General features: G+C 36.1%; 1 protein-coding gene across 56 annotated transcripts in view; it reads right to left on the bottom strand.

Moving 5' to 3' along the window:
* The window catches only part of ZEB1 (zinc finger E-box binding homeobox 1), a 211,388-nt gene that overhangs the window by 68,481 nt on the left and 128,668 nt on the right, over positions 1-14,239 (bottom strand). For 53 of the 56 annotated variants that reach the window (NM_001323643.2, NM_001323638.2, XM_047425691.1 and 50 more), the window contains one exon: positions 87-287. The exons of the other annotated variants lie outside the window; for them this stretch is intronic. Coding sequence is in view for 10 of the 53 variants with exons in the window: in NM_001174096.2 (NP_001167567.1) it covers positions 87-287 (201 nt within the window). In the remaining 43 variants the exon portion in view is untranslated. The remainder of the gene's footprint in view (positions 1-86; positions 288-14,239) is intronic. 56 annotated transcript variants of the gene reach the window in all.

Below are 14,239 nucleotides of genomic sequence, written 5' to 3'. Positions count from 1 at the left end.
TTTCATCCAATTTATCTTTTCAGTTAATATATATTTTAAAAAACGAATCATGAGAATACAATATTACAAAAAAAAATCAGACTTACTGTCATCCTCCCAGCAGTTCTTAGCATTCCCTTCTCTTTCACTGCTCCTCCCTGGTAACACTGTCTGGTCTGTTGGCAGGTCATCCTCTGGTACACCTTCACAGTCAGCTGCATCTGTAACACTTTCTTCTTCCACAATATGCAGTTTGTCTTCATCATCTGAATCTGAATTTGTTTCTACCACAGTATTATAATTTGTAACTGTAATACAAACAAGAAACAAATAATCAAAACCAACTAGTAAAACAATCAGTTTTTACATCTCAGAAAAATAAAAAAGATGCTTAAAACAGATTGTAATTCAATGTTTTCTTTTAAATAATGTTAACAACTAATTTATTTGACAACACACATATGTAACACTAGATATTACATGACCAAAATGACAAATAGTAGCTACCCTTATTGAATACTTACTATATATAGACCTGCTTTATAAATACTAACCCATTAAATTCTTACAACAATCTTATAACAGCCTTATGAAATAAGAGTTCTACCACTTACTACTTATATCCTTGTTTTATATGTAAGAAAATCAAGGCAGAGAGAGAGTAACTTGTCTAAGATCACAGCTAGGAAGTGGCAGAGCCAGGATTTTAACAGCAACAGTCTGATTCCATATTTTGTGCTCTTAAACTCTATATTAAACCTCCCCTCCAATGATAACGAGCCTACAGCATACGATATTGCTTATGTACAATTAGGGCTTTGAATCCTTAAAGGATTGCAACTTAAGAAAAGAGGCCATCTTTCCTAACAAAATAGCATTACATCATCAAGTTTACCACAAGTATTTTTAAGCTGTTAATGATCCATGCATTACATTATTAATCCAACACTGACTTTAGAAAGAATCAACCAAATTAGTCAATTTCTATATAATTAAGTTTGTCATTCTGAATAACTGACATTTGGAAGTTTTCAAATGAGCACCTTTTTCTATAATTTTTAATGAATTTCAATAAAATATAACATCAGCATTTTATTATTCTGAGTGATTTCTATAGTTCATAGAACCAGGAGTATAAGCTGAGAATAAAATTCTATAAAATAAATAATCTAGTATAATCAATGTTTTCCTTTAGAGTCCTTGCAATAATCACTCTAACAGGATGAATATTTAGTACTTCATTGGGTATGGTCACTAGAATATCTCTTTTAAACTACTTTCAGGGTGATTCTTATTTGCTAAGAAAAGATTCGGAAGAAGGGAGAAAAAGAAGCTTCACTTTATTTAGATAACTAGGCAGTAATTACTATCAGTTATTCTTTCCACTGCTTCCTTAAATTTTCCAACAATTCTTGAAAAATAATCACCTAAATGCTTAAATAATATGTATACATATCCCTCTACACACACACACACACACACACACACACACACACACACACACACACACACACTCCTGAGAACACGAAGGAAGAAATACAATTGAAAATATGGGTAGATATTTAAAGGTGAAAACAAATAACCAAAACTCCAAAACAGCTTTTATAGACTTTAGGAAGACTCTTGTCCAAAAGAGTACCAGAGGTCACCACTGTGCTCACATATTAGGAGTTCTTCAATATCTTGTGTCAGAAGAAAAACGTCAAGTTTTGTTATGCCATTAATATTTTAGTATGAATATGCTTTTCCAGATCTTTTCCCAAGAGTAAATGGTTTTCTCTCTTATTTTATTATAAAAGTAATGCATGTAAAATCAGTCAATGCAAAACATGTAAAGTTAGTAAAGGCAGCCCTATTTTTCCTTCCTCAATCCACTCCATAAAGATAAAAATAATGGCAAATTTTATTAATTATTTCAATGCACTAAGTAGGCATGATGTAACTCATTTTATATACTTTTCTTACTTAGTTGTAACACAAACCTCACCTTATCTTATATTTAATATAAATCCAGCATCACCTATATACAAATGTGTGTATATATAATTCAAAATACACATGATCACATCATACTGCTTTGCCACTTATATTATGCCACTTTATAACATGTCTTGGAAGCCTTTCTATGTCAGTACAGACAGTCCCTGACTAATTATGGCTTGATTTACAATGTTTTGACTTTATGATGGTGCAACACCATTCTGTTTTTCACCCTTGGTACAGTATTCAATAAATGACAAGAGATATTCAACATCATATTAAAACATAGGCTTCATGTTATGATTTGCCCAACTGTAAGCTATAAGTGTTGCAGGCATATTTAAGGCAGGCTAAGCTCAGCTATGATGTTTGATAGGTTAAGTATATTAAATGCATTTTCGATTTCACAGTATTTTCAACTTACGATGAATTTATCAGGACATAACACCATCATAATTCATAAGTCAAGGGGCATCTATATACATAAAGCTTTCTTATTTCCCTCTGGATAGCTACACAGCATTCTATCATACAGATATACTTCAACCTATGATCTATTGATAATTTTTTTGCCTGTGTTAAGCACTAGCAACAATGCCATAATTTTTCTTGTAAATATGTATAATTTTGGCCATTCCTTATATATACTTATCAGATTAGTAGGGGTGAAACTTTAGAGTAAAAGGGAAGACTTATGAAGTAGATACTGTTAAACTGCCTTCCAGAATGGTTTTATGTTTCCATAAATATTATCTGAGGAGGTCTATTCAGTATATCAATACAATAAAGAAAAAAGTCACTTTAATATAGTAATGAGAAAATACGTGTCAAGATGGAAAAACAGCCACACTATGAGCAGCCACACTACAAGCAGAGTGAAGTCCGTGTGTGGGTAAGGGGAATGATTTTTAAAAGGCTGTTTCACAGCTGACTATAAGCTTAAGTTTCCTGACTGTAAGAGTTTCCTGATGGGCCTTTAACTCATAGTAAGAGGCAAATACACACACACACACACACACACACACACAACACACACACACACACACACACACGGAATGGAGATGCTTACTGGCAAATGATGCACAATGCTATTAACTTTCATTTTTACTTTCAGTACTTATTAGCAACCTACTTGATAAAGTCATTTTAAGTTGGCATTTATATATGACAAGCTAAAATTAGAACATGGTAAGTATTTGCTGAGGATTAATCAATTCTATACTCCACTAAGATCTGGCTATCATGTAAGGTCTGGCTCACTGCAAGGCTCTCAAATATGCTTGACCAGTGAAACTGCATGCCTAGATAGCTGACATTCCTGCTGTTTTGCGAAGGGAGGCTTCTGGACATCTTTGGTATCTTGAGTTGGCCATGGTTTTATGCTGATGCCATTCTTACCTTTTAATGATGCAATATTGCAGCCTAGCATTATATTATCAATTTTGTTAGCTGTAGGTTCTCTGGTTGACCTTGGATTGCACATTTAACACATTTATATCTAGAGTATTTTGGGCTTGAAAACTTCCCCCAAATTAGGCTTTAAGACATATATGCATTCTGGTTCAAATGCTTGCTTGCATGGTTCATATTTTTTTACTGAGTTCTTTTTAACCAGAGATACTGGGTGTTCTATTCTGCCCAAGTCAACCATAGCTCAAAGCACTCTTAAAGACTGCCTATCACTTTCTGGGACTCTAGCAGAACTCCTTCCTGTCCCCTGTATAAGCTGCCATTGTAAGATAGATTATGTCATAAATCCAAAACACAGAGATTGTATATATTTTATAACTATCTTGTGAATTTTCCCAGAGCATGTTTGATATGTGTCATAAAATGGGAAAAATCCAAAAAATCAATGTATTTTATCTGCTGAGATGGAAAAAAAGACCGATAACTATTTTCCAAGATTTTTACTGTCTTTTGCTTCTGTCACTTAGCTGAGAGAAAAAAAACAGTGAAAACTGCTGATATTAATGACTGAAACTTAAATTAATAGTCAAGCTTACTTGTATTTCTGAATCTATCATTTTGTTTGTGGATCTACACAGCTTATTTAAAAAATGGCCCACCACCAAAAGCATACAGAGTAATGCAGGCCCTTGATAAATTCTAGTAGCCAATGAGGGCTTCAGTTATCTAAATGTTCTGTCCAATGATCTCTATACCCCTGAACTGTTTAACCTGTGGCTGAAAATATAGTATAGTTTATCTGAAAATAACAATCATAGGTGATCATCACATCTTGATTCTGATTTTAATTAAAATATGAAGAAAGCAAGGGTAAAAAATATGGTAAACAGTTTTAAAAATCTTTAAACATGACTTTAGATAATATGAATTTAAACTTCAATAGAAGATGGTAACATTTTCAATGCATACTTATTGTCATCAGAATGTAAAGACATGTTGACTTCTTGATGGTGGTAGTTGTTGGTATTATTTGCTAATATTTAATGCCAGACACAGCAGTAACCACTGCATACAGTGGTTGTGAAGATATAATGATTTTTAAATGTATTGTGCTTAGATCAGTGTCTGGTACACAGTAAGGACTAGAGAAGTGTTTTCTGCTACTACTATTAGCTTGGTAAATCTTTACAGCAGCTCCTAAGAAGTAGGTATTATTATATATCCCTCTGACAGACAAAGAAAAACAGAGTACCTAAGTAGCCTGTCTGAGGTTATGTAGCTACTAAGTTGAAGAGTGAAAGCCAGGTTGGCTAGATTCCACAGCCTACATACTTCATTATGTGCAAAGGCTCCTGACTGAAAATCGTTACACTGATGAAAAATATTCTTAAACTTTTGTGTGTATACTTATTTTGGGGTACTGAAATTCCATACTTAACAATTTACCACTGCAGATATTTTCTAATGACTAAACAATTTTAACCATTAGAATCTCATAATATTTGAACAGTGTATTACAGCATAATATCATCCTTATAGTCAAATCTTTTTATTATTATACTTTAAGTTCTGGGGTACATCGCAGAACGTGCAGGTTACATAGGTATACACATGCCTTGGTGATGTGCTGCTCCATCAACCCATCACCTACATTAGGTATTTCTTCTAATGCTATTCTCCCCTAGACCCCCACCCCGCCAACAGGCCCTGGTGTGTGATGCTGCCCTTCCTATGTCCATGTGTTCTTATTGTTCAACTCCCACCCATGAGTGAGAACATGCGGTGTTTGGTTTTCTGTTCTTGTGATAGTTTGCTGAGAATGATGGTTTCTGGCTTCATCCATGTCCCTGCAAAGGAGAGGAACTCATCCTGTTTTAGGGCTGCATAGTATTTCATGGTGCATATGTGCCACATTTTCTTTATCCAGTCTATTATTGATGGACATTTGGGTTGGTTCCAAGTCTTTGCTATTGTAAATAGTGCTGCAATAAACATACGTGTGCATGTGTCTTTATAGCAGCATGATTTATAATCCTTTGGGTATATACCGAGTAATGGGATGGCTGGGTCAAATGGTATTTGTAGTTCTAGATCCTTGAGGAATCGCCACATTGTCTTCCACAATGGTTGAACTAATTTACACACCCACAACAGTGTAAAAGTGTTCCTATTTCTCCACATCCTCTCCAGCACCTGTTGTTTCCTGACTTTTTAATGACCACCATTCTAACTGGTGTGAGATGGTATCTCATTGTGGTTTTGATTTGCATTTCTCTAATGACCAGTGATGATGAGCATTTTTTCATATGTCTGCTGGCTGCATAAATGTCTTCTTTTGAGAAGTGTCTGTTCATATCCTTGCCCACTTTTTGATGGGGTTGTTTTTTTCTTGTAAATTTGTTGAAGTTCTTTGTAGATTCTGGATATTAGCCCTTTGTCAGATGGATAGATTGCAAAAATTTTCTCCCATTCTGTAGGTTGCCTATTCACTCTGATGATAGTTTCTTTTGCTGTGCAGAAGCTCTTTAGTTTAATTAGATCCCATTTGTCAATTTTGGCTTCTGTTGCCATTGCTTTTGGTGTTTTAGATATGAAGTCTTTGCCCATGCCTATGACCTGAATGGATTACTCAGGTTTTCTTCTAGGGTTTTCATGGTTTTAGGTCTTACGTTTCAGTCTTTGATCCGTCTTGAGTTGATTTTTGTATAAAGTGTAAGGAAGGGGTCCAGTTTCAGTTTTCTGCATATGGCTAGCCAGTTTTCCCAACACCATTTATTAAACAGGGAATCTTTTCCCCATTTCTTGTTTGTGTCAGGTTTGTCAAAGATCAGATGGTTGTAGATGTGTGGTGTTATTTCTGAGGCCTCTGTTCTGTTCCATTGGTCTATATATCTATTTTGATACCAGTACCATGCTGTTTTGGTTACTGTAGCCAGGTAGTATAGTTTGAAGTCAGGTAGTGTGATGCCTCCAGCTTTGTTCTTCTTGCCCAGGATTGTCTTGGCTATGTGGGCTCTTTTTTGGTTCCACATGATGTTTAAAGTAGATTTTTCCAATTCTGTGAAGAAAGTCAGTGGTAGCTTGATGGGGACAGTATTGAATCTATAAATTACTTTCGGCAGTATGGCCATTTTCACTATATTGTGATTCTTCTTATCCATGAGCATGGAATGTTTTTCCATTTGTTGTGTCCTCTCTTATTTCCTTGAGAAGTGGTTTGTAGTTCTCCTTGAAGAGGTCCTTCACATCCCTTGTAAGCTGTATTCCTAGGTACTTTATTCTTTTAATAGTAATTGTGAATGGGAGTTCACTCATGATTTGGTTCTCTGTTATTGGTGTATAGGAATGCTTGTGATTTTTGCACATTGATTTTGTATCCTGAGACTTTGCTGAAGTTGTTTATCAGCTTAAGGAGATTTGGGGCTGAGACAAAGGGGTTTTCTAAATATACAATCATGTCATCTGCAAACAGAGACAATCTGACTTCCTCTCTTCCTATTTGAATACCCTTTATTTCTTTCTCTTGCATGCCAAGTCTCTGCCCTGGCCAGAAATTCCAACACTATGTTGAATAGGAGTGGTGAGAGAGGGCATCTTTGTCTTGTGCTAGTTTTCAAAGGGAATGCTTGCAGTTTTCACCCATTCAGTAAGATATTGGCTGTGGGTTTGTCATAAATAGCTTTTATTATTTTGAGATACATTCCATCAATACCTAGAGCTCGTGGAGAGTTTCTAGCATGAAGGGGTGTTGAATTTTATCAAAGGCTTTTTCTGCATCTATTGAGATAATAATGTGGTTTTTGTGATTTGTTCCATTTATACAATGGATTACGTTTGTTGATTTGTGTATGTTCAGCCAGCCTTGCATCCCAGGTATGAAGCTGATTTGATCGTGGTGGATAAGCTTTTTGATGTCCTGCTAGATTTAGTTTGCCAGTATTTTATTGAGGATTTTCACATCGATGTTCATCAGGGATACTGGCCTGAAATTTTCCTTTTTTGTTGTGTCTCTGCCAGGTTTTGGTATCAGGATGATGCTGGCCTCATAAAATGAGTTCGGGAGGATTCCCTCTTTTTCTATTATTTGGAATAGTTTCAGAAGGAATGGTACCAGCTCCTCTTTGTACCTCTGGTAGAATTCGGCTGTGAATCCGTCTGGTCCTGGACATTTTTTTTTATTGGGAGGCTATTAATTACTGCCTCAATTTCAGAACTTGTTATTGGTCTATTCAGGGATTCGACTTCTTCTGGGTTTAGACTTGGGAGGGTGTATGTGTCCAGGAATTTATCCATTTCTTCCAGATTTTCTAGTTTATTTGCGAGGTCAATAAATCTTTACAAGAACTTTCACATATTATTTTTAGCACATGATTGCATGCAGCACTGTATCAACTATAGTAATTAAAGTCTCATGTAAATATCTGTTTCTTAAGTAATGTACAATCATAAAAAAGCATTAGATAACTTATATGAGTATGGTTCCAAAACCAATACATTCTCAATTTTTTATTCATTGGTATGAAAGCAAGATCACCTAAATGCTTCATAAAGAATCTCACTATCATCATTTATTGTGACTTGGAATAGCAGGATAGGGCCATGTAGAGGAAGAAACTTAGGGAAGTGGGGAAGAAAGATGGAAAAGATTAACTTTGAGGGCTTCAATTCTTGTCCGACGATAACTGTGGCATGTATTGATTAAAGCCACAGGCGAAGGCCACATTTTTACCTATTTTGGGTTGTGTAAAGGCTTTTCTTTCCAGAGGACACCCTTATTATGTTATGCCTTTAATATGTGCTTAACTATATCCCACTCATTGCCATCAAGCCCCTAAGCATGCACTCATTTGCATGTTAGAAAAGAAAGAGAAAATCTTTCTTAGAAGACTAATCCTTAAAAACTAACAGACTACTTTTAACAAACTGGTTCCACATATATCAGATAAGCATATTGTCATAATTTAAGAAATAACTAGAAAAATACATACACTTTGAGTTGTGTTCTACAGAGCCAACAGACTGTACTCATATTAAGTATAAGAATATTTTACACATTAGCACAATTCTGAGAACACCACAAATTTAGGCATGAATGCTGAGTGATGCAAAGATCGGTGGAAACACTGACCAAGTGTTTCCATCCATTATTCTTTAACATCAATTGGGACTACAATAACATCTCTCTCTCTCTCTCTCTCTCTCTCTCTCTCTCACACACACACACACACACACACACACACACACACACACACATTTTATCCTAAATACAGTCACTGGCATACTGCCTTCTACATAGTAGGTATAGAATTATTTGCTGAACTGAATATGGGACCACACTTTTTTCTTTTCTCAGTGAAGAAACAAGTCAATATACTTAAGTGTTAGCAACAATTCAGGAAAATGAAAACAAAACTGCAGTCATAACCAGACCAGGCAAACAGGTACACAAAATGGAATGGAGAGGTCATGTGGTAATTCATAGGATCAGAGAAAACTTCTGCATATAATATTACTCCAGGAAAGAGGAGCTTGTCTATAAATACTAAGCATTTACTGTAAATTTTTGTTAATCTGACTTTTGACCGAACTGATAATGTTAGCTTACTGTCTATATATATTTTACTGTATAATGAAGGATATAATGTAATATACAAATGTAATGTTATATAATAATGAACAATGTGTATATTATCTAATTTTAATTTAAATAATCTAAAAATAGGTATCATAATGGTTTTAGAGTACCCCAAGTACCATGAACATGTTAGATTTTAGTAATTCTAATGATTCAGTAAATTTTGGGTGAAATTTTTAAATCCTTCTCTAGGTAAAATCTTCATAAACTCTTTTTATATTTTCAAAATATATTTTAAAACATAACTCCAATAAAAGTCAATCATTCTAAATTTTACCCCTGCAAAAGGGGTGGTGGTTTTTAATATCTTCAGATACATGCTATTAATAGAATGAAAACTGATAGGCAAACGCAGGGAAAGGGTTGTCATTGCTCACAGAATGCTAGTTCTTATTTTCTCCTGTCTCTCATTACATGAAAGTTACTAAGGATTCGTAGGATTTCTTTGTTACTCTCTCAGTTCTTGTTCTGGCCTTTCTCTCTTCCTCCACAGATCCTGTATCTATCTGCCCCCAACAAGAGCCATCCTCCCAAATTACCTTCCCCTTTTCCCCTTTTATCTAAACTCCCATCCACTCAATGAGCTAATTTCAGCCAGTGTTCGTACAACTCACAGATAGATGAAACAGTGAAAAAGCAAAGTCCTCAAGAGATTAAATTAAATTCAGTCCCAAAAAAGATGATTCCTTTTTGTGTTGAGGAAAGTATTTGGAGTAAAATAATTCACACTAAATTACCTATAACTAATATTTCCTTCATAAGTAAAGTCTGCATTTATAAAAGGATGCTTTTTAATTCATAGAAACTGTTACTTATGGAAGATAGGTAGTATGACGAAATCTAAGTGTGAAGACAAAATCAAAAATACAAATGCGGAAAGTACTTAGTCAAAAAATAGAGAAGCCATGTAATTGATATATCAGTCCAAAAGCCCAAACTTTAAAGAATCAAGAAAAAAGATAAATTACCAGCCTACTTAATCCTAGAGAAAAAAATTAAGCAGCACGAATGTTCAATATTAAAATGCAAATGGAGTTAACTACAACTATAAAGAAATTTAGGAAACTTACTTTTTAAATATTTTGTCCAAACCTAAGCAAATAAATTTGAAAACCTAGATGAAAACCCTTTCTAGGAAAATGTAAATAATTATCACTGTATTATAGAACTTGGAAAATTATTTAAGAGACATAGACAGACACATCATAGAATAAATTTAGGAAGATAGTAGTTAACCACCCAAAACTGCCAGGTGTTTTCACAGGTAAATTTCTTCAGATCTGTAAAGGACTGATAATTTTGTAACTTTTTAAAGAGAGAGGAAAATGAAAAGTCTGAATTCTAGGAAGTCAACATAATAATTAAAATCTGAGGAAGGATATACATGCATGTGCACACACACACACACAGGCACACATGCGCACGCACGCACACACACACACACACGCTCAGTCCTAAATAAAATATGCAATGGTCCTAAATAAAATATTAAATTAAAAGAATGAAGCAAACATTACTTAATATTAGAAAATATATGTGCTTTTACTATATTAACATAAAGGACAAACGACATCTATAGATACAGAAAGGCATTTGAAAAAAATTCACCATTCCCTTGCTGATACTTTTGCATGAAAAGAAAACTGAAGTTAGTATCATAATAAATGATTATGAATGACAGGCATTTGTAAGATAAAGATGCTTAGTTTCATCATTAGTTAACAATGATTTACAAGAATAAACCAATTTTTAAAAAGAATAAAAGAGAAAGTATAAATATTAGAAAGGAGAAGCAAAATTATTTGCAGAATAACATTTATAGAAAATTCAGGAAAAATCAATAAAAAAACTATTAGCAGTAAGGACATTTGGTAAATGGTTAATTACAAATTTAAAAGAAAAAAATCAATATCTTTCCAACAGAAAAAAATCAACAGCTTTCCAATAATCAACAATAACCAGCTAAAAACACGAAAGAGGAAAAAATTCTATTACTAGCAACACAAATGAAACACATGAAGGAAAAAGCTTAAAATAAAACATGGAGGACCTACATGAAGAAAACTAGCATTCTATGTAAAAGTCATCAAATATTTGAATAAATGAAAAGCTATATCTTGGTTTTGAATAGAATGATTTTGTGTCATAAATATGTCAATTCTACCTAAATTTTTCTATAAATTCAATGCAATTTTGATCCAAATGCTACACATGGTATCTTGGATTCTAAATCTAAATGACTTAGATCAACACGTCTACAGTTTATATAGAGAAGTAGGAGCATGGTCTCTGGAACCTAACTGCCTGGCTCAAATCACAGCTTCACTGCTTACTAGCCTTGTCACCTTGAGCATGTTATATATTCTTCTAATGTCTCAGTTTCCTCATTGCCAAGATTGAAATATTAATAGTATACCCCTGACATGGTTATCACAATGATGAAAATAGGTATATATGCAAAACACTTGGTAATACTGCACATATATTCTTGATACATACTGTTGGTATTATTATCTGAGAAAACAAACACATTAAAATACTCAGGAAAATTCAGAAAAATAATAGTAATGGTGGTGGTAGGAGAACATAAACTAGATATACCAGAGAGTAAACTTTATCTTGAAGCTACAGAAATGGAAATAGATTTGTACTATTACAGGGATGGGCAATCAATGGACTTGAATATAATACAAAATAGACCCTAAACAAATAGGAGTCTTGCAAATTAGTGGGGGGAAAATGCATTATTTAATAAAAATCATTTGGAAAAAAATCAGATCCCCACCCCAAGACTTTCACCAAAATGAAACCCACACGAAATCAAAGACTTTAACTTAGAAAAAAAACTGAAACCATAAAAGTATTAGAAGAAAATATAGGCAGAGAGGAGCCAAGATGGCCGAATAGGAACAGCTCCAGTCTACAGCTCCCAGCGTGAGCGACGCAGAAGACGGGTGATTTCTGCATTTCCATCTGAGGTACCAGGTTCATCTCACTAGGGAGTGCCAGACAGTAGGCGCAGGCCAGTGGGTGCGCGCACTGTGCGCAAGCCGAAGCAGGGCGAGGCATTGCCTCACCTGGGAAGCGCAAGGGGTCAGGGAGTTCCCTTTCCGAGTCAAAGAAAGGGGTGACAGACGCACCTGGAAAATCGGGTCACTCCCACCCGAATATTGCGCTTTTCAGACTGGCTTAAAAAATGGCGCACCATGAGACTATATCCCACACCTGGCTCAGAGGGTCCTACGCCCACGGAGTCTCGCTGGTTGCTAGCACAGCAGTCTGAGATCAAACTGCAAGGCGGCAGCGAGGCTGGGGGAGGGGCGCCCGCCATTGCCCAGGCTTGATTAGGTAAACAAAGCAGCCAGGAAGCTCCAACTGGGTGGAGCCCACCACAGCTCAAGGAGGCCTGCCTGCCTCTGTAGGCTCCACCTCTGGGGACAGGGCACAGACAAACAAAAAGACAGCAGTAACCTCTGCAGACTTAAATGTCCCTGTCTGACAGCTTTGAAGAGAGCAGTGGTTCTCCCAGTACGCAGCTGGAGATCTGAGAATGGGCAGACTGCCTCCTCAAGTGGGTCCCTGACCCCTGACCCCTTAGCAGCCTAACTGGGAGGCACCCCCCAGCAGGGGCACACTGACACCTCACACGGCAGGGTATTCCAACAGACCTGCAGCTGAGGGTCCTGTCTGTAAGAAGGAAAACTAACAAACAGAAAGGACATCCACACCGAAAACCCATCTGTACATCACCATCATCAAAGACCAAAAGTAGATAAAACCACAAAGATGGGGAAAAAACAGAACAGAAAAAGTGGAAACTCTAAAACGCAGAGTGCCTCTCCTCCTCCAAAGGAACGCAGTTCCTCACCAGCAACGGAACAAAGCTGGATGGAGAATGACTTTGACGAGCTGAGAGAAGAAGGCTTCAGACGATCAAATTACTCTGAGCTACGGGAGGACATTCAAACCAAAGGCAAAGAAGTTGAAAACTTTGAAAAAAATTTAGAAGAATGTATAACTAGAATAACCAATACAGAGAAGTGCTTAAAGGAGCTGATGGAGCTGAAAACCAAGGCTCGAGAACTACGTGAAGAATGCAGAAGCCTCAGGAGCCAATGCGATCAACTGGAAGAAAGGGTATCAGCGATGGAAGATGAAATGAATGAAATGAAGCGAGAAGGGAAGTTTAGAGAAAAAAGAATAAAAAGAAATGAGCAAAGCCTCCAAGAAATATGGGACTATGTGAAAAGACCAAATCTACATCTGATTGGTGTACCTGAAAGTGATGGGGAGAATGGAACCAAGTTGGAAAACACTCTGCAGGATATTATCCAGGAGAACTTCCCCAATCTAGCAAGGCAGGCCAACATTCAGATTCAGGAAATACAGAGAACGCCAAAAAGATACTCCTCAAGAAGAGCAACTCCAAGACACATAATTGTCAGATTCACCAAAGTTGAAATGAAGGAAGAAATGTTAAGGGCAGCCAGAGAGAAAGGTCGGGTTACCCTCAAAGGGAAGCCCATCAGACTAACAGCTGATCTCTCGGCAGAAACCCTACAAGCCAGAAGAGTGGGGGCCAATATTCAACATTCTTAAAGAAAAGAATTTTCAACCCAGAATTTCATATCCAGCCAAACTAAGCTTCATAAGTGAAGGAGAAATAAAATCCTTTACACACAAGCAAATGCTGAGAGATTTTGTCACCAGCAGGCCTGCCCTAAAAGAGCTCCTGAAGGAAGCACTAAACATGGAAAGGAACAACCGGTACCAGCCGCTGCAAAATCATGCCAAAATGTAAAGACCATCGAGACTAGGAAGAAACTGCATGAACTAACGAGCAAAATCACCTGCTAACATCATAATGACAGGATCAAATTCACACATAACAATATTAACTTTAAATGTAAATGGACTAAATTCTCCAATTAAAAGACACAGACTGGCAAATTGGATAAAGAGTCAAGACCCATCAGTGTGCTGTATTCAGGAAACCCATCTCACGTGCAGAGACACACATAGGCTCAAAATAAAAGGATGGAGGAAGATCTACCAAGCAAATGGAAAATTAAAAAAGGCAGGGGTTGCAATCCTAGTCTCTGATAAAACAGCCTTTAAACCAATAAAGATCAAAAGAGACAAAGAAGGCCATTACATAATGGTAAAGGGATCAATTCAACAAGAAGAGCTAACTATCCTAAATATATATGCACCCAATACAGGAGCACCCAGATT

Source organism: Homo sapiens, chromosome 10, assembly GCF_000001405.40.
Source record: "Homo sapiens chromosome 10, GRCh38.p14 Primary Assembly".
NCBI lineage: Eukaryota > Metazoa > Chordata > Mammalia > Primates > Hominidae > Homo > Homo sapiens.
This window is presented reverse-complemented; position numbering and strand designations above follow the sequence as displayed.